The 20,057-nt window shown below is 51.2% G+C and overlaps 1 protein-coding gene across 8 annotated transcripts in view, besides 2 other annotated features; it reads left to right on the top strand.

Moving 5' to 3' along the window:
- Positions 1,813 to 2,717: an enhancer, noted in NCBI's record as "H3K27ac-H3K4me1 hESC enhancer chr19:47852412-47853316 (GRCh37/hg19 assembly coordinates)". NCBI's record gives its function as "activates a minimal SCP1, AML or CMV promoter by ChIP-STARR-seq in primed H9 embryonic stem cells {active_cell/tissue: H9 hESC(primed)}" and the evidence as "EXISTENCE:reporter gene assay evidence [ECO:0000049][PMID:30033119]".
- Positions 1,973 to 20,057, top strand: part of DHX34 (DExH-box helicase 34) — a 33,390-nt gene continuing 15,305 nt past the window's right edge. For 2 of the 8 annotated variants that reach the window (NM_014681.6, XM_047439761.1), the window contains exons 1-7: positions 1,973 to 2,010; positions 5,412 to 6,393; positions 7,697 to 8,008; positions 10,524 to 10,778; positions 12,626 to 12,728; positions 15,134 to 15,351; positions 19,639 to 19,813. In NM_014681.6, the coding sequence (NP_055496.2) occupies positions 5,689 to 6,393; positions 7,697 to 8,008; positions 10,524 to 10,778; positions 12,626 to 12,728; positions 15,134 to 15,351; positions 19,639 to 19,813 (1,768 nt within the window). In that variant the 5' untranslated portion in view covers positions 1,973 to 2,010; positions 5,412 to 5,688. Of the gene's footprint in view, positions 6,394 to 7,696; positions 8,009 to 10,523; positions 10,779 to 12,625; positions 12,729 to 15,133; positions 15,352 to 19,638; positions 19,814 to 20,057 lie in introns of those variants that run through there. The other 6 variants (XM_047439760.1, XM_011527550.3, XM_011527551.3 and 3 more) reach the window with 6 other exon arrangements.
- Positions 7,720 to 8,219: an enhancer, noted in NCBI's record as "H3K4me1 hESC enhancer chr19:47858319-47858818 (GRCh37/hg19 assembly coordinates)". NCBI's record gives its function as "activates a minimal SCP1, AML or CMV promoter by ChIP-STARR-seq in primed H9 embryonic stem cells {active_cell/tissue: H9 hESC(primed)}" and the evidence as "EXISTENCE:reporter gene assay evidence [ECO:0000049][PMID:30033119]".

Genomic DNA, 20,057 nt, shown 5'->3' on the forward strand with positions numbered 1-20,057 from the left:
ATTTGTTTGTTTGTTTATTTGAGACAGAGTTTCTCCTTGTCGCCCAGGCTAGAGTGCAATGATGCGATGTTGGCTCACTGCAACCTCCACCTCCTGGGTTCAAGCGATTCTCTTGCCTCAGCCTCCCGAGAAGCTGGGATTACAGGTGTCCGTCATCATGCCTGGCTAATTTTTTATATTTTTAGTAGAGACGGGATTTCATCATGTTGGCTTAGCTGGTCTCGAACTCCTGACCTCAGGTAATCCACCTGCCTCGGCCTCCCAAAGTGCTGGGATTACAGGCGTGAGCCACCGCACCTGGCCTTGTTTGGAAATTTTAAGCAGAATGCTTAGTCCATTTATTCTTCTTCTTTTGATAATAATGTATGAATTGGCTTCTCTATCTCTAAGTTGTTTTCCAGAGGCTTGATAATTATATCCAACGTTCCACTTGACATCCCCAGTTGATGTCCAATGCATAACTCAAACAATATGCTGAAAACAGATCTTCGGATTTTCTCTCTAGCCTCTCTCCCACGTCTTCCTGATGGTAGTAGATGGTGACTCCATATTTCCAAATGCTCAGGCCAAAAACTTTAGAGTCCTTCTTTTTTTTAGACATAGAACTTTTTTCTGGCCAGGCACGGTGGCTCATGCCTGTAATCCCAGCACTTTGGGAGGCCGAGGTGGGCGGATCACGAGGTCAGGAGATCGAGACCATCCTGGCTAACACAGTGAAACCCCGTCTCTACTAAAAATACAAAAAATTAGCCGGGCGTGGTGGCGGGCGCCTGTAGTCCCAGCTATGCGGGAGGCTCAGGCAGGAGAATGGCGGGAACCTGGGAGGCGGAGCCTGCAGTGGGCCGAGATCGCGCCACCGCACTCCAACCTGGGCGACAGCGAGACTCCGTCTCAGAAAAAAAAAACAACAACACTTTTTTCTTTTTTTGAGACAGTCTGGCTCTGTCACCCAGGCTGGAGTGCGGTGGTACCATCATGGCTCACTGCAGCCTCAGTCTCTCAGCCTCCTAGGTTCAATCGATCCTCCCACCTCAGCCTCTTGAGTAGCTGGGACTACAGGCACACACTACCATATCCGACTAACTTTTGTATTTTTTTGTAGAAACAGGGGTTGGCCATATTGCCCAGGCTGGTGTGGAACGCCTGACCTCAGGTGATCCACCTACCCCGGCCTCTCAAACTGTTGGGATTACAGGCGTGAGCCGCCGTGCCCAGCTGTTTCTTCTTTCAGTTAATAAAAGAGAGGGTGCATTGCTGGCTAATGAGATTGTTTCTATACTTGGGGGTCTTCCTGAATGTGTGTGATTGAGTTTATTGCAGAGAAAGGTAACAGAAAATGGGGTTGTAGAAAGAAAAGAGGTAGAGGCTGAGTGAGATGCCCCACATCTGTAATCTCAGTGCTTTGGGAGGCCAAGGCGGGCGGATCACTTGAGATCAGGAGCTGGAGACCAGCCTGGCCCAAATCGTGAAACCTCGTCTCTACTAAAAATACAAAAATCAGCCAGGTGTAGTGGTGTGCGCCTGTAATCCCAGCTACTCGAGAGGCTGAGGCAGGAGAATGGTTTGAACTTGGGAGGCGGAGATTGCAATGAGGTGAGATAACGCCACTGCACTCTAGCCTGGGAGACAGTGAGACTATGTCTCAAAAGAAAAAAAAAAGTTCCTGGGCCCCAGACCAGCTCTCTCTTTGGGTTAAAACCCCGGCGTCCCGGAGCTGAGGCGCACGTGGCTATGCTTGGGGAGGAGAGGGCGGGGCCGGGGAGGAGGCGCTTGCAAGTCTGTACCGCAATGCCTCTACTGGCCTCTAGAGGGCGCAATCACTCGAGGCTCCGCCCCAAGCGAGGCGGGGCGGAAGCGTGCTGTGCACAGGCGCAAGATGGGTCTTGGGCAGCCCAGAGCTTCCGATTGGCTCTTCTGTGGTGGCGGGGCGGGGTCAGAACGAGATGGCTGTGTGCGCAGGCGCAAGACTAGCGCTCTTGGGACCGGAAGTTAAGGCGTTCGCGGCGTGTGGTAAGTGAGGGGGGCGGGACGGGTGTACCGGGTTGTGGCGGCGATGGCTGTCGGAGTTGGGCCGCTTGGGGGTAGTTTGGGGTGCGAGTCCAGGGGCGAGGGAAGTCTCGAGATGAGGAGAAATGTAGGAGGCAGCCGAAGGGCCGGCAAACGCGGACAGAGATGGCACCTGAGCGTCCCTGGGAGAACCTGGGCGACAGGCCAGAGACCGAAAGAAATGGAGGCACGAAAAGAAGCTTCGAGAAACTGAGGGACTGAAAGACGAGGGTGTTGGGAGAGGAGGGAAGCTGAAAACTAGAGAGCGTGGGCGAGAGTGCCGATGGGTTCCAGCGAGAGTCTTAGAGCCCACGAGGCCGAGAGGCGTGGTCGCCCATGAACTTGGGGAGTGGAGGGAAAAGTCGGAAACTGATCGTGGACACTAGAAACAGAAAAAATGGAATTTAGATGGAGAAACGAGACACTGAATCACGGGGGAGACCGAGAGATACGGAAGGATGGAGACAGTTGAAATAGGAAGAACCCCACAAAAGCTGGAGATAATGGAGAACGATGCTGAGAAATGGAAAAGCGAGGGAGTGGAGCCCGAACCCCTGGATTTGAGTGGCTCATGTAACACTCGGCTACTCACTTAGCCTCTCTATTGCTCAGTAAAATAGGGGGTGATCATAGTGCCTGACAGTCGTGAGAAAAGTGTGTGTGTGTATGTACATAGGTGTGGGATAGGAATAGATCATGCAGATAGGATAGGTCTGTGTGTTAATGTGAGTAAGTAAGCATGAGCTATTACTAAAGCTTCTGATATTGGGAGATAAAGTATTAGATGGGGAAATGGAGAGAGGTGGTGATGGAGAGTGAATACTGGAAGGACAAAAGGGAGGAAAAAAAGATTCAAACAGAAAATGAGAAAGGGCGTGGTGACTCACTCCTGTCATCCACAGCACTTTGGGAGGCTGCGGTGGGAGGATCACTTGAGCTTGGGAGGTCGAGGCTGCTGTACGCCGTGATTGTGCCACTGCACTTCAGGCTGGGTGACAGAGTGAGACCCTGTTTCAAAAAAACAAAAATGAATTTTTTTTTTTTTTTTTTGAGATGGAGTTTCGCTCTTGTTGCCCAGGCTGGAGTGCAGTGGTGCGATCTTGGCTCACTGCAACCTCTGCCTCCTGGGTTCAAGCGAGTCTCCTGCCTCAGCCTCCAGAGTAGCTGGGATTACAGGCAGGTGCCACCACCCTGGCTAATTTTGTATTTTTAGTAGAGACGGGATTTTTCCATGTTCGTCAGGCTGGTCTCGCACTCCCGACCTCAGGTGATCTGCCTGCCTCAGCCTCCCAAAGTGCTGGGATTATAGGCGTGAGCCACCATGCCCGGCCTGAAAAAGCATTTTTTTTTTAATGAGAAAGATGGAGAAAGTCAAATGGAGAACTGAAGAGAGATGGAGAAAGGAAGAGTTGGATTACAGAGAAAAATCAGACTACAGAATGACTCATAAGTGAAGAGAGATGCGAGCTGACTAGGACAGGGAAGAGAGATGAGGGTGATGATGAACAAGACGGACTGAAAAAGAGACAGAGGCCTGAAGATGGAGTGGAGAGAGATGGAGGGGACAGAGGGGGAAACAAACCCACTGAAGGCCATGAGCCCAGGGCAAATAGGCCAAGAGACCAAAAGATGGTCAGAGACACAGTTATACAGAAACTAGAAGATGCAGACAATCTAGAAGCCAAAAAAGATAGATACCTTGAGAGGAGCGGGATGCTGTCAGTGGGGCCCAGCATGCATAAGCAGTTTCTAGCCTCAGAAGAATGCTCTCATTTTCTTTTTCTTTTTTTTTTTTTTTTTTTTTTTTTGAGACAGAGTCTCGCTCTGTTGCCCAGGCTGGAGTGCAGTGGCTCAGTCTTGGCTTCCTGCAAGCTCTGCCTCCAGGGTTCGAGTGATTCTCCTGCCTCAGCCTCCCGAGTCGCTGGGACTACCCGAGTAGCCAGGTGCCCGCCACCACACCTGGCTAATTTTTTTTCTCCAGCCTGGGTGACAGAGCAAGACTCCATCTCAAAACAAAAAAGACTCCAACTGTAAGCAAAAAGGCATTTTCTGGTGTAGCTGAGAAGTGGGGGGTTGAAGGGAACTAAGCTTCAAGACCTAAATGATGTTGCCAAGCTTCTCTTCCTCTCCCTCTTTCACCTCTCCCTGTGGTGCAGTGACCATTCTTGTGCCTGTATCTAGTTATTTCTCTAGGATAGATTTTAGGAAAGACTCTGTCATGTTCCAGAGCTACCACAAAGAGCTCCAGGCTTATATCAAACTTGCCTGATTATGATGGATAAAATGAGAGCTTTTCTGTCCTAGCAACCGAGTGTAAATTCCACAAAAGGGCCCTGATTGGCCCTTCTTGGATCATGTGTCCGCTTCTCAGGCCAATCCTTGGTTAGAGGGGGAGTAGACTACTAAGACTGGCCAGGTCTTTGTTACTTGCCTACCCAATAGGGGTTCTTTGTCTTAAAGGCCCTCAGAACCATGTAGAATCGAGGAAGGGCTGTTGTCCAAAGGAAGGTGGATACTGTCCTCAGAAAAGAAGTAAAGGGTTGTGCCAGGCAGGCAAAAATTACATATAACACTTGCAAAATTTTGCCTTTTATCTCAATGTTCTGAATCTCACTGGACCCCGGGTGAAGAACCCTTGCCTTATTCTTTTCATTATATCACACCTCTCTCCTATTACTGCCTGTGGAGACAAGGTTCTGCTGTTGGTTGGCCATGTGACCTACATCTCTCCTTTAGGTCTCAGGTGAAACATCCCCTCCTCCCAGGATCCTTCCCTGATTCCCAAGCATGGGAAGGAGGAGGAACCTCCTTTGGTGTCCCACAGCTCCCTAGGATTCTGTTATCACAGTCCCCATCACTGGATTGTCACAGTCTGATGACGTGTGTGTCACATGAGAGATCATGTGATCATGGCCGTCTGTGAGGACTCTGGTAGTCATATTCATTACCTCCTTTTTCTAGTTCAGTGCTTAAGAAACAGGCTGTTAGAAATGTTTCTAAAAATGGGCTGGGCATGGTGGCTCACACTGGTAATCCCAACACTTTGGGAGGCTAAGGTGGGGGAATTGCTTGAGCCCAGAAGTTTGATATCAACCTGGGCAACATAGTGAGATCTCATCTCTACAAACAGTAAAAAATTAGCTGGGTGTGGTGGCATGTGCCTGTAGTCCCAGCTGCTCGGGAGGCTGAGGCGGGAGGATCGCTTGAGTCCAGGAGGTCGAGGCTGTGGTGAGCCATGATTACGGCACTGCACTCCAGCCTGGGAAACAGAGTGAGACCCTGCCTCAAAAAGAAAAAAACAAAACAAAACCAAAAAAAGCAATGTTCCCAAAAGAGAATTAATGTCTTCTGTTCTCTCTCTTAAGAATCCAGGGCCTGAAAACCCAGAATGAACTTGTGTCCATCCCAGAGATCACTGCAGATGTCATGAGGTACCCTTTGTGTCACCAGCTCAAGCAGGCCTCTGGCCACTTTATCATCTGTGGTGGTCCTGTGCCGTGACCAGGAGGAAAAATTAGCTCTTTGAAGAGAAAGTAGTTCTCTATTGCAGGCACTGGCCTCTTAAATTGTTGCAGGTGGGGAATGGATGAGAATATTTGTTTTGGGTGATCAGAACTGAGACTCCTATTGTGGATTAGTAACATGCCTCCTCCTAGAACAAGGGAGGGCAGGGATCGCCGAGACCACCACCGGGCTCCCAGCGAGGAAGAGGCCTTGGAGAAATGGGACTGGAATTGTCCAGAGACGCGTCGCCTCTTGGAAGATGCCTTCTTCCGTGAAGAGGATTACATCCGTCAGGGTTCTGAGGAATGTCAGAAGTTTTGGACCTTCTTTGAACGCCTGCAGAGATTCCAGAATCTCAAGACCTCCAGGAAGGAGGAGAAAGACCCTGGACAGCCCAAGCACAGCATCCCAGCGCTGGCCGACCTACCTCGCACTTACGACCCACGTTACCGCATCAACCTCTCTGTTCTTGGCCCTGCCACGCGGGGCTCTCAGGGACTGGGCAGGCACTTGCCCGCGGAGAGAGTGGCTGAGTTCCGCCGAGCCCTGTTGCACTACCTGGACTTTGGCCAGAAGCAGGCATTTGGGCGTCTGGCCAAGCTGCAGCGTGAGCGGGCAGCCCTCCCCATCGCCCAGTATGGGAACCGCATCCTGCAGACGCTGAAGGAGCACCAGGTGGTGGTAGTGGCCGGTGACACCGGCTGTGGCAAGTCCACTCAGGTGCCCCAGTACCTGCTGGCTGCTGGCTTCAGTCATGTGGCGTGCACCCAGCCCCGGCGGATCGCCTGCATCTCACTGGCCAAGCGTGTGGGCTTTGAGAGCCTCAGTCAGTATGGCTCACAGGTGAGTGGGACGCACCAGGTTTCCGATTTTTCCAGCGTGACCTTGGGGGAATAGGTTGCTTGTCCATATGGCAGTATCAATAAAAATGAAGCACTTACCCTTGGACCCAGCGATGATTCTTCTAGAACTTTATCCACAGAGTGGCTTGTCTGTGGTCTACATGACAAAGGAGCTAGCATTAACCAGTGTAGCACTTTAACAGCAAAACAATGGGAAATGTCCTAAAGGCTCATCACTTTTTTTTTGAGACGGAGTCTCACTCTGTGGCCCAGGCTGGAGTGCATTGGTGCGATCTTGGCTGACTGCAACCTCTGCCTCCCGGGTTCAAGCAATTCTCCTGCCTCAGCCTCCTGAGTAGCTGGGATTACAGGCACCCGCCACCATGCCCAGCTAATTTTTGTAATTTTAGTAGAGACGGGGTTTCACCATGTTGGTCAGGCTGGGCTCAAACTCCTGACCTCAGGTGATCCACCCACTTCGGCCTCCCAAAGTTTTGGGATTACAGGTGTGAGCCACCACGTTGGGCTGCGAGGGTAATTCTTGACGATCACTGCAATGCAAACTGCCATCTTGGAAGGCCAATAATAGTCCTTCTGTCTCATGGTGGTCATGAGGATGAAATGGGTTGATATACATAAAGCACTTAGAGTGGCATATAATGTCCTGGCACATAGCAGGGACTCAAGAAAAGGTTATTGCTATATAGTTAATATTATATATACATGAGGCACAGTGCTAGATACTTTCTGTGCATTGTCACATGGAATTCTCACAGCATCTAGGAGGAGAACTATAAGGGATGGCATTGCCTGCCCAAGGTCAGTTGGCACTAAGTGGCAGAGGTGAGATTCAAACCCAAGCTGTTGGACTCCAGAGTCTGATGGGTAGGCATGGTATTTGCTTAGATTTTCTTTTTGCTTTTTCTTTTTTTTGAGATGGAGTTTCACTCTTGTTGCCCAGGCTGGAGTGCAATGGTGCGATCTTGGCTCACTGCAACCTCCGCCTCCCGGGTTTAGGTGATTCTCCTGCCTCAGCCTCCCAAGTAGCTGGGATTACAGGCATGCGCCACCACGCCCGGCTAATTTTGTTTGTATTTTTAGTAGAGATGGGGTTTCTCTATGTTAGTCAGGCGGATCTCGAACTCCCTACCTCAGGTGATCCGCCCGCCTCTGCCTCCCAAAGTGCTGGGATTACAGGCGTGAGCCACCGCACCCGGCCTGCTTAGATTTTCAATTTGGGCAGGGCCAGGGGCTGGTACCCAGGCTCAGGGTCCTCTCCTGATCCTTTCTTTCTCCCACCCCAGGTCGGCTACCAGATCCGCTTTGAGAGCACACGTTCGGCGGCCACCAAGATTGTATTCCTGACAGTGGGGCTGCTCCTGCGACAAATCCAGCGGGAACCCAGCCTGCCCCAGTATGAGGTCCTGATTGTGGATGAAGTCCATGAGCGGCATCTCCACAACGATTTCCTCCTGGGCGTCCTCCAGCGCCTGTTGCCCACGCGGCCTGACCTCAAGGTCATCCTCATGTCGGCCACCATCAACATCTCGCTCTTCTCCAGCTATTTCAGCAATGCCCCTGTGGTACAGGTGCCTGGGAGGCTGTTCCCCATCACGGTGAGTACTTCCCCCTCCTCCCACATCCCCAGACCTCCAACCTGGTCTCTGTCCAAACCTGGACATGCCTCTTCTCTCTGCTGCTGTATCTCCCATCTCTTTCATTTAAAGATGTTCTCTTTTTTTAAAGCTACCATTTTCTGAGCATTCATAATCAGCTGGTTAGAGTGCTAAGTGCTTGTTAGAGTAAAAGCTGTTACAAGAAGACCCAAAAATGGCTGGGCGCCGTGGCTCATGCCTGTAATCCCAGCACTTTGGGAGGCCGAGGTGGGTGGATCACGAGGTCAGGAGATTGAGACCATCCTGGCTAACATGGTGAAACCCCATCTCTACTAAAAACACAAAAACAAAATTACCCAGGCATGGTGGTGGGTGCCTGTAGTCCCAGCTACTCGGGAGGCTGAGGCAGGAGAGTGGCGTGAACCTGGGAGGCGGAGCTTGCAGTGAGCCGAGATCGCGCCACTGCACTCCAGCCTAGGTGACAGAGTGAGACTTTGTCTCAAAAAAAAAAAAGACCCAAAAATGTAAAGTCTCAAATAAGAGAAGTTTATTTCTCTCATATAACAGTGTGGCTGGTCCAGGCTGTTGGGCAACTCTGTTCCATGTGGTCATTCAGGGATCCGGGCTCCTCCTTTGTCATTACTCTGCCATCTCACTGGGCAGGATTTCTCAAAGTCAGCAAGATTGACATTTCAGTCTGGATAATTCCTTGTCGTGGGGGCTGTCCTGTGCATTGTAGGATATCTAGCAGCATCCCTGGCCCTACCCACTAGATGCTAGTAGTCTTCTCCTCTGGTTGTGACTATTAAAAATGTCTCCAGACATTGCCATATGTTCCCTCTGGGGCAAAACCACCCCTAATTGAGAAACACTGTCCTAGTGAGTTATCCTTGTCTGTATAGTCAAGACTTACAGGAAGAACTTCATTGTCTCTTGTGATTTCTGGTTCCGGATGCCCATCAATTTGCCTTCTAAGCAGCCATAAAAAAAGAAAGAATGGGTCGGGCACGGTGGCTGGTGCCTGTAATCCCAGCACTTTGGGAGGCTAAGGCAGAAAGATCACGAGGTCAGGAGCCCAAGACCATCCTGGCCAACATGGTGAAATCCCATCTCCACTAAAAATACAAAAATTAGCTGGGCATGGTGACGCACGCCTGTAATCCCAGCTACTTGGAAGGCTGAGGCAGGAGAATTGCTTGAACCCGGAGGTCGAGGTTGCAGTGAGCCAAGATGGCTCCACTGCACTCCACCCTGGGAACAGAGCAAGATCCCATCTCAAAAAAAAAAAAAAGAAAGAAAAGAAAGAGAGAGAGAGAGTGCGAGCCGAGTGTGGTGGCTCATGCCTATAATCCCAGCACTTTAGGAGGCCGAGGCGGGTGGATCACCTAAGGTCAGGAGTTCGAGACCAGCCTGGCCAACAAGGTAAAACCCCGTCTCTACTAAAAATGCAAAAATTAGCTCGAGTGGTGGTGCGCCCCTGTTATCCCAGTTACTCAGGAGGCTGAGGTGGGAGAATTGCTTGAACCTGGGAGGTGGAGGCTGCAGTGAGCCGAGATCATGCCACTGGGTGACAGAGCGAGACCCTGTCTCAAAAAGAATGAGGCTGCTTCCTGAGAAATGTTTTCTAGGGTTTTTGTTTTTTGTTTTTTGTTTTTTTTAGTAGAGACGACGTGTTGCTATGTTGTCTGCCTGGTCACGCATACCTGAGCTCAAGCAATCCTCCCGCCTTGGCCTCCCAAAGAGCTAGGATTACAGGTGTGAGCCAACTATGCTGGGAAATCAGCCAACCAACCTGGCTCAGGCTCAGGGTCCTCTCCTGGTCAGCCAACCAACCTGATTTCTAGGTTTTTAATCCTGGTTTCATCACCTAGAATATTTTTCTTGTTGAAGCTACTCTAAACATAAGATAATGCATGCATTGTAAGTATATAGCTTAATTAGTTTTCACCAGTTACATACATCTGTGTAGCTAGCACCCAGGTTTAGAAAAGTCAAACATTGCCAGCACCCCACAAGCCTTGCAGTTGCTTTGTTACTTTGTCTTTTTATTACATCCTTCAGAAATTATCTAGCTGGAGTGTGCTGTCTGTCACCTGACTGTTTCTCAATTAGGGGTGGTTTTGCCCCAGAGGGAACATATGGCAATGTCTGGAGACATTTTTAATAGTCACAAGCAGTGGAGAAGACTACTAGCATCTAGTGGGTAGGGCCAGGGATGCTGCTAGATATCCTACGATGCACAGGACAGCCCCCACGACAAGGAATTATCCAGACTGAAATGTCAATCTTGCTGACTTTGAGAAATCCTGCCCAATGAGATGGTGGCATAATGAGAAAGGAGAAGCCTGGATCCCTGAATGACCACATGGAACAGAGTTGCCCACCAGCCTGGACCCGTTGCACTGTGTCTTCTCCGTTAGCCTGTGGTCTCCCCCGTCAGCCTGCAGCCTCCCCAGCCCATTGCTCTGAGCTGGAGGGACAGGGTGTGCTTCTACCTGGGGCTGTCTCCTCTCAGGTTGTGTACCAGCCGCAGGAGGCGGAGCCGACCACGTCCAAGTCAGAGAAGCTGGACCCGCGGCCTTTCCTGAGGGTGCTGGAGTCCATTGACCACAAGTACCCGCCTGAGGAGCGGGGTGACCTCCTCGTCTTCCTCAGCGGCATGGCGGAGATCAGCGCCGTGCTGGAGGCTGCCCAGACCTATGCCAGCCACACCCAGCGCTGGGTGGTACTGCCACTGCACAGCGCCCTGTCTGTGGCCGACCAGGACAAGGTATCACAGGAAGCCCGAGTGGGGCAGGCGGGGGGTCTGCATGAGTCAGGGGTGGCTGCGCACAGGACTTGTGTAACTCCACAAACACAGGGCTCGGGGGCTGTACTTGTGCAAAGTCGTAGCCACCTAGTGGCAGAGCCAGGCTGCGAACCCAGGTAGTCTGGCCCCGGAGCCCATGCTCTAAACCAGAGGTCGGCAAACTTTCTATAAAGGGTCGGAGTAGATGATGTCAGTCCTATCGACCATGGGCTCTCTGTCTGTCACAGCTACTCAGCCCCACTGTTGCAGCATGAAAGCAGCCATAAACTGAGTGGGTGAGGCTGTGTTCCAAAACAGTTTTTTTTTTTTTTTGAAACAGGGTCTTGCTCTGTTGTCCAGGCTGGAGTGCAGTGGCACGATCAGGGCTCACTGCAGCCTTGACTTCTTGGGCTCAAGTGATCCTCTCTCCTTAGTCTCCCAAGTAGCAACTATAGGTGTGTGTCACTAAACTCCATTAATTTTTTTTTCTTTTTGGGACAGAGTCTCACTCTGTCGTCCAGGCTGGAGTGCAGTGGCATGATCGTGGCTTACTGCAATCTCCACCTCCCGGGTTCAAGCGATTCTCCTGCCTCAGCCTCCTGAGTAGCTGGGACTACAGGCACCCGCCACCACGTCCGGCTAATCTTTTGTATATTGAGTAGAGACGGGGTTTCGCCATGTTGGCCAGGCTGGTCTCGAACTCCTGACCTCAAGTGATCTGCCTGCCTCAGCCTCCCAAAGTGCTGGGGTTACAGGTGTGAGCCACTGTGTCCGGCCTCCGTTAATTTTTTTTTGAATTTTAGTAGCAAAGAGGTCTCACTGTGTTGCGCAGGCTGGTTTCAAACTCCTGAGCTCAAGCGATCCTCCCCTAGTGGGGGCAGTGCCAGTTTATGCTTCAGCAGATCCCTCTGGCTGCCATGTGAGTCTACAGGCCAGAGATCTGAGGGGAAGCTGGAGTAGGATCAGAGTGGGCGAGGAGAGGCCTGGACCAGGGCAGGGGCTGGGCTGTCGGAGGAGGGAAGGATTTCAAGAAAAGTTCCAGATGGCCTGGTACATTGGCTCATGCCTATAATCCCAGCACAGGAAGCTGAGACAGGAGGATCACTCGAGCTCAGGAGTTAGAGACCATCCTAGGCAACACAGTGAGACCTTGTCTCTACAAAACGGAAGAAAACTAGCTGGGCATGGTGGCATGTGCCTATAATCCCAGCTACTTGGGAGGCTGATGCAGGAGGATCGCATGAGCTCAGGAGGTCAGGGCTGCAGTGAGCTGTGATCACGCCACTGCACTCCATTGTAGGCCACAGAGTGGGATCCTGTCTCAAAAAAAAAAAAAAAAGTTCAAGATGTTCAGGTCGGGGGAGCAGGTGTGGTGGCTCATGCCTGTAATCCCAGCACATTGGGAGGCCAAGGCAGGCGGATCACCTGAGGTCAAGAGTTCAAGACCAGCCTGGCCGACATGGTGAGACCCCGTCTCTACTTAAAATACAAAAATTAGCCGGGCATGGTGGCGGGCACCTGTAATCCCAGCTGCTCGGGAGGCTGAGGCAAGATAATTGCTTGAACCCGGGAGGCAGAGGTTGCAGTGAGCCGAGATCACGCCACTGCACTCCAGCCTGGGCGACAGAGCAAGACTCCGTCTGAGGGTGGGGGAGGGCCCAGGATGGCCCAGGTGATGGGGTGGACGGTGAGCCATCTCCAAAAGGGAGGTCTCTGAAGGAGGAAAGGGTTCCAGGGAAGCTGCTGACACGGGGGTGGGCAAGAAATTGGACACATAGGTTAGTCGGGGCTGAGTTAGTTCCTGACACCACCCCCTCCCTTCCTCCCAGGTATTTGATGTGGCACCCCCTGGAGTCCGGAAATGCATCCTCTCCACCAACATTGCTGAGACCTCAGTCACCATTGACGGGATCCGCTTCGTAGTAGATTCCGGTAAGGACCACCATGAGCCCCTACCCACCACCCCCAAGGACTTAGGAGCATGGGGTCCGGAGGTGTGCGTGTGTGGCAGGGGCGCACCAGCTTGGATTGGGAAGTACAGTTGACTTTCCCATATCCAAAATGCTTGCTTGCAACCAGAAGTGTTTGGAATTTCGGGTTTTTTTGAATTTGGAATATTTGTATCAATTTTATTATTTGAGTATGTCAAATCCAGAAATCTGAAATCCTCCAGTGAGCATTTCATTGGAGGGTCACGTTAGTGCTGAAAACATTTCAGATTTTCGAGCATTTCAGACTTTGGATTTCCAGAATTGGGATGCTGGAAGACGATGTGTGGGGCCATGGACCAATGGCAACATCTTAGTTTTTCTCACACCTTCCAAGCCTGCTTCTGCCCTGGGGCCTTTGTACTGTTCTCTCTGCCGAGAGCTGTCTTTCTCCAGGTATCCACACAGGTGACGCCCTCACCTCATTTCAGGGCCCGCATAAATGTCCACCCGTCAGAGAGGCCCATACTGTCCACTCTGTCTAAGAGATATCCCCTCCTCCATCCGCTGTTGCTTGTCATATGAGGGGGATTGACATTCTGTTTGTTGTTGTTGTTGTTGTTGTTGTTGTTGTTGTTTTGAGACGGAGTCTTGCTCTGTTGCCAGACTGGAGTGCAATGGTGCAAGCTCCGCCTCCCGGGTTCAAGTGATTCTCCTGCTTCAGCCTCCCAAGTAGCTGGGATTACAGACATGCATCACCACGCCCGGCTAATTTTTGTATGTTTAGGAGAGATGGGGTTTCACCATGTTGGCCAGGCTGGTCTCGAACTCCTGACCTCAAGTGCTGCCTGCCTCAGCCTCCCAAAGTGCTGGGATTACGGGCATGAGCCACCACGCCCAGCCCGACATTCTATTTTATGTGCTGCTCTGTTTGCTCACTTTCTGTCTTCCTGACTGGAATGTTCTCTGGGAAGTCAGCATAGCATAGTGTTTGGAGACACTGGAGCCTGCCTGGCCAGGTTTAGTGCTGGCTGTGTGGCTGGGGTCATGTGACTGACACTTCATGTATCGGTTGGCTCATCTGAAAAATGACAATGGCAGGCCGTCCCGGCTGGGCGCGGTGGCTCACACATGTAATACCAGCACTTTGGGAGGCCAAGGCAGGCAGGTCACTTGAAGTTAGGAGTTTGAGACCAGCCTGGACAACATGGTGAAACTCCGCCCCTACTAAAAATACAAAAATTAGCCAGGCATGGTAGTGCGTGCTTGTAGTCCCAGCTGCTCAGGAGGCTGAAGTGGGAGAATCACCTGAGCCCAGGAAATCGAGGCTGCAGTGACCTGTGATTGTGCCACTGCACTCAAGCCTGGGCAACAGAGCGAGACCCTGTTTAAAAAAAAAAGAGAGAGAGAGAAATTAAAAAAATAATGTCTGCCAGGTGCTGTGGCTCATGCCTGTAATCCCAGCACTTTGGGAGGCTGAGGCAGGTGGATCACCTGAAGTCAGGAGTTCAAGACCAGCCTGGCCAACATGGTGAAACCCCATCTCTACTAAAAATACAAAAATGACCCGGGCATGGTGGCGGGTTCCTGTAATCCCAGCTACTCAGGAGGCTGAGGCAGGAGAATCGCTTGAACTCAGGAGGCAGAGTGAGCCGAGATTGTGCCATTGCACTCCAGCCTGGGCAATAAGAGTGAAACTCCATCTCAAAAAAAGAAAAGAAAGAAAATGTAAAAAAAGGTTGTTCTGACACTGGAGGAAATATGGTGCTCTGTTCAGTCCTGTGAGACTAGGACCTTTGTTTAGCTCACTGCTGTTCCCCTAGTGCCTAGTGCAGTGCCTGGTATATAGTAGGTGCTTAATAAGTATTTATTGGATAAGTGAACCTCTGAAGAAACAAAGACTTGGGAAAATAAATGAAAAGATGTGTGAGTGAAAGGCTGGGTGCAGTGGCCCACGCTTGTAACCCCATCACTTTGGGAGCCTGAGGCAGGCAGATTGCTTGAGCCCAGGAGTTTGAGATCAGCCTGTGAAACCCCGTCACTGCAAAAAATTAGCCGGGTGTGTTGGTGTGCACCTTTAGTCCCAGCTACTCGGGAGGCTGAGCTAGTAGGATCATCGCTTGAGCCTGGGAGGTTGAGACTGCAGTGAGCTCTGACTGAGCCACTGCACTCCAGCCTGGGAGACAGTGAGACCCTGTCTCAAAAAAAAAAAAAAAAAAAAAAAGATGTGTGAGGAAATGAAAGAATAAATGAACAAAATGTCAGAGTTGGGCCCAGAATAAGCCCTCAGTTAGCATTAACAGAATAAAGGAGTAAGTGAGGGTGTTGGCGAGTGACAAGAGCCAGGCGCGTGGCCAGCTGCACGTGGCTGCCACACACAGACTCCCTTTCCTCATTGCTCCCATCCAGGAAAGGTGAAGGAGATGAGCTACGATCCGCAGGCCAAGCTGCAACGGCTGCAGGAGTTCTGGATTAGTCAGGCCAGCGCAGAGCAGCGGAAGGGCCGGGCGGGCCGCACGGGCCCCGGAGTCTGCTTCCGCCTCTATGCCGAATCGGACTATGATGCCTTCGCCCCCTACCCCGTCCCAGAAATTCGGAGGGTGGCCCTGGACTCGTTGGTGCTGCAGGTGAGGCATGGGCAGAAAGGGGACTATATCCTAACTGCTGGCACAGGGAGGAACCTGGGAGGCCTTTTTTATTTTATTTTATTTTATTTTATTTTGAGATAGCGTCTTGCTCTGTCACTCAGGCTAGAGTGCAGTGCTGTGATCATGGCTCACTGCAGCCTCCATATTACAGGCTCAAATGATCCTCCTACCTCCACCTGCCAAGTAGCTGGGACCACAGGCACACACCACCACGCTTGGCTAACTTTTAAATTTTTATTTATTTATTTATTTTTGAGACGGAGTCTCCCTCTGTCGCCCATGCTGGAGTGCAGTGGTGCGATCTCGGCTCACTGAAACCTCCGCCTCCCAGGTTTAAGTGATTCTCCTGCCTCAGCCTTCCTAGTAGCTGGGACTACAGGTGTGCACCACCAAGCCCAGTTAATTTTTTGTATTTTTTTTTAGTAGAGATGGGGTTACACCATGTTAGCCAGGATGGTCTTGATTTCCTGACCTTGTAATCCACCCTCCTCGGCCTCCCAAAGTGCTGGGATTACAGGCATGAGCCACCGCGCCCGGCCTAACTTTTTTTATTTTTAGTAGAGATCAGGTCTTGCTATGTTGCCCAGGCTGGTCTCAAACTCCTGAGCTCAAGTGATCTTCCCACCTTGGCCTTCCAAAGTACTGGGATTACAGCCATGAGCCATTGTGCCCAGCCAGCCAGGAAGCATTTACATAGGACCCAACCCCAGAGTGTCAGGGTCAGGAAGGATAGGGCTAGCCAAGCCACTGAGGGGAACCCATCCCTTCCAAATGTCAAAACCCTTGTTGAGGGGAGAATTGTTCCTTAAATCCATAGGGTCAGCTGGGCATGGTGGCTCACACCTGTAATCCCAGCACTTTGGGAGGCCAAGGCAGGTGGATCACTTGATACCAGGAGTTTGAGACCAGCATGACCAACATGGTGAAACCAGTCTCTATTAAAAATACAAAAAATTAGCCGGGTGTGGTGGTGTGCACCTGTAAGCCCGGCTATTTGGGAGGCTGAGGCAGGAGAATTGCTTGAACCCAGGAGGTGGAGGTTGCGGTGAGCCGAGATCACACCACTGCACTCCAGCCTGGGCGATAGAACAAGACTCCATCTCAAAAAAAAAAAAAAAAAAAATGTCCATAGGGTCAAAGGAAGAACCAGTGACTCAATCAGAATGCTTTCAGCTGTAACAGGAAACCTAGCAGGAAAGGGCTTTTAAAACCAGGGTTTCTCAATACATTTTATGTCATGATTTGTATCTCATTTGTTAATTTAGCATAGGTTAGACTGCCATGACAAATACACATGGTCACGAATGGCCAACAGCGGAATGGTGGTTTACAGGTTGGCAGGCAATTTTCTTTATTCAGGGACCCAGGGTCCTTCACTCTTGTGGCTCTATAATCTCCCCAGGGGCTTTTCCTGCATATGTGTCCAGCCAGCCAAAGGGTCAAGGGCATGGGAAGTGAGTACAGGAGGGTTTGCGGGTCGAGCCTGCAAATGGTGCACTTGCCTTGCACTCACCACTCCTGGTCAGTCCTCAGTCTCGTGGCCACGCCCAACCGTGAAGGAGGCTGGGAAGTGTAGTCCTTGTGCTCAGGAACAAAAGGAAAAGGAAAGTTGGGAGCAGCTGATGGTGTCTGCCACAGGCTCACGTGCGGGTGTAGCACAAACCAGTGGCCTTCCTGCAGGAGGTGCACACTATTTTCTATTCTGTTTGATTTCATCTTTTAAAAAAAAAAATACTAGTGCTGCCGGGCACAATGAGTGACTCATGCCTGTTATCCCAGCACTTTGGGAGGCTGAGGCAGGAGGATTGCTTGAGGCCAGGAAGTCGAGACCAGCCTAGGCAACACGGTGAGGCCCTGACTCTAGAAAAAATTTAAAAATTAGCCCAGTGTGATGGCACACACCTGTGGTCCCACGCAGGAGGCTGAGGCAGGAGGATCGCTAGAGCCCAGGAGTTCGAGGCTGCAGTGAGCCTTGATTGCATCACTGCACTCCAGCCTGAGTGATAGAGCAAGACCCTGTCTCATAAAAAAACAAAGTCCATGGGGTAGGTAGTCTTACCCTAATTTTTGGACCAGAAGAAGGATGCAGAGAGAGAGAAAATATTGCCCCAGGTCACACAGCTGGCAAGTAGTAGAGTCAGGGCTCCATCCGAGGCCACCAGGCGTCAGAGCCTGCTTCGTGAGTGGCCGCTGGCTCCAGGCACAGTGGGCGTCACCTCCTCCTCCTTTACCATCCGGAGGCAGAAGCAAGGAACTGCCCTTCTCTGTGGGTCTAATTTTTAAGGCCACAGGAACATTTTCTAGACTCCTCTGGCCAGTCTCTCATCCTCTCTTGTCAGCAGAACCGGGTCATATGTGTTCACCCTATGCCCCGCAATTGTCTAGGGTTGTGGCATTGCCTGAGTTGATCAGAGCAGTGTCTCAGCCCCAGCTGCATACTAGAAACACCTGGAGAATTTAAAAAAACCCCAGGCCCTGCCCCCTGCCTCTTTAAATTGAGCTTCTAATGTAAAGGTTATTTATTTATTTATTTATTTATTTATTTATTTATTTTTGGGACAGAGTCTCACTCTGTCGCCCAGGCTGGAGTGCAGTGGTGTTATCTCGGCTCACTGCAACCTCCACCTCCCAGGCTCAAGTGGTTCTCCTGCCTTGGCCTCCCGAGTAGCTGGGACCACAGATGGGTGCCACCAGGCCCAGCTAATTTTTGTAATTTTAGTAGAGAGGGAGTTTCACCATGTTGATCAGGCTGGTCTTGAACTTCTGACCTCAGGTGATCTGCCTGCCTTAGCCTCCCAAAGTGTTGGGATTACAGGCATGAGCCACCGCGCCCGGCCTATAAAGGTTTTTAAATGAGTATTGGGTGAACTCATAGACGGCATCAAGGCTTGGTCAGCAGGGAGGAAGGAGCAGCAGCTGCTTGCAGGTGGACGCCAGAACTTCTAGTGCCCTCGGATCAAAGCCAGGCAAACAGACTTCTCTGAGCTTCCTTCTCGCTCTCTGGCTGTCACATGAGCTGCCTTGCCAGCCTCTCCTTCTTCCAGTCACCAGAGAGGTGCTGTTTGCTTACGTATGCCACGCCAGACCCCGGGGTGGACATATGCTGTCACTTAATTCTCCCACCATCTACTGCCTGCCTGGACTGCTGCATTAATTGGGATTCTTTTGGTTGTAAGTGAGAGAAATACAACTGAAACTATTGTAGGCAGAAAGGGGGATCTTACCATTTTGTGCATTCATGAGGCGGCATGTCTAACTTAGGAACAATCCAAGAATTTCTCCATCTGCTGTAGGTGGGCCCATTTCCAAAAAATGGACAAAGTCAAAGGTCACAGCAGTTCTGGGTTAATAAGATAGCCTTCCATCCTGGCCACAACCAGAGAGGATGCTGGGAATGCTCTTCCTGGCTCCAGTCTCATGGAAGGATTCTGATTGGTCCAGCTCAGGTCACGTGCCTCTCCTCCATGGTCTGGGGCAAGATGTGCTAGGCAGACAGATACAGAGACAGCAGCCCTCCTTGCCTGCCTCTGCACAGTGGATCTTGACATTGGGAATTTTATTTTATTTTATTTTATTTTATTTTTGAGATAGAATCTCACTCTGTGGCCCAGGCTGGAGTGCAGTGGTGCAATCTCGGCTCACTGCAACCTCCGCCTTCCAGGTTCAAGCAATTCTCCTGCCTCAGCCTCCCAAGTAGTTGAGATTACAGGCACTCGCCACCACACCTGGCTAATTTTTGTATTTTTAGTAGAGATGGGGTTTCACCATGTTGGCCAGTCTGGTCTCAAACTCCTGACCTCAAGTGATCCACCTGCTGTGGCCTCCCAAAGTGCTAGGATTACAGGCATGAGCCACTGTGCCTGGCTGACACTGGGAATTTGAGATGGAGTCTCGGTGTATTGCCAGGCTGGAGTGCAGTGCAGAGGCGCGATCTCGGCTTACTGCGATCTCCACCTCCTGGGTTCAAGCGATTCTCCTGCCTCAGCCTCCCGAGTAGCTGGGATTACAGTCATGCACCACCACTAATTTTTGTATTTTTAGTAGAGACGGGGTTTCACCATGTTGGCCAGGATGGTCTTGAACTCCTGACCTCAAGTGATCCGCTTGCCTTGGCCTTTCAAAGTGCTGGGATTACAGGCATGAGCCACAACGCCCGGCCAACACTAGGAATTTTAAAACGTCATGAATTTGTGATCTCTGAGCCCCGCTGTGCTGCACAGTGGCTCTTGTGTTCCCCAATCTTGGGGGTTTTGCTTCTCATTCTAGATGAAGAGCATGAGTGTGGGGGACCCCCGAACCTTCCCCTTCATCGAGCCCCCACCACCAGCCAGCCTGGAAACCGCCATCCTCTACCTCCGGGACCAGGGGGCCCTGGACAGCTCAGAGGCCCTCACACCCATTGGGTCCCTGCTAGCCCAGCTGCCTGTGGACGTTGTGATTGGTGAGTACCCACCCCCCTCCTGATCACTCAGGGCCCCAGGAGCGGGTATGGGCACAGCTCACTCTCTGAGTGGCCTGGGGGCAAGTCTGTTTCTTCCCTGGGTCCAGTTCATTTATTCACTCTTCACTGGGCCAGGCACTGTTCTAGGTGCTGGGCATATAGCAGTGGACAGAACAGACACAAATCTCTGGCCTCAGGGAGCTGACATTTTGGTGAAGAAGACCAGCAATACATTAGGACAATA

Source organism: Homo sapiens, chromosome 19, assembly GCF_000001405.40.
Source record: "Homo sapiens chromosome 19, GRCh38.p14 Primary Assembly".
Taxonomy (NCBI): Eukaryota; Metazoa; Chordata; class Mammalia; order Primates; family Hominidae; genus Homo; species Homo sapiens.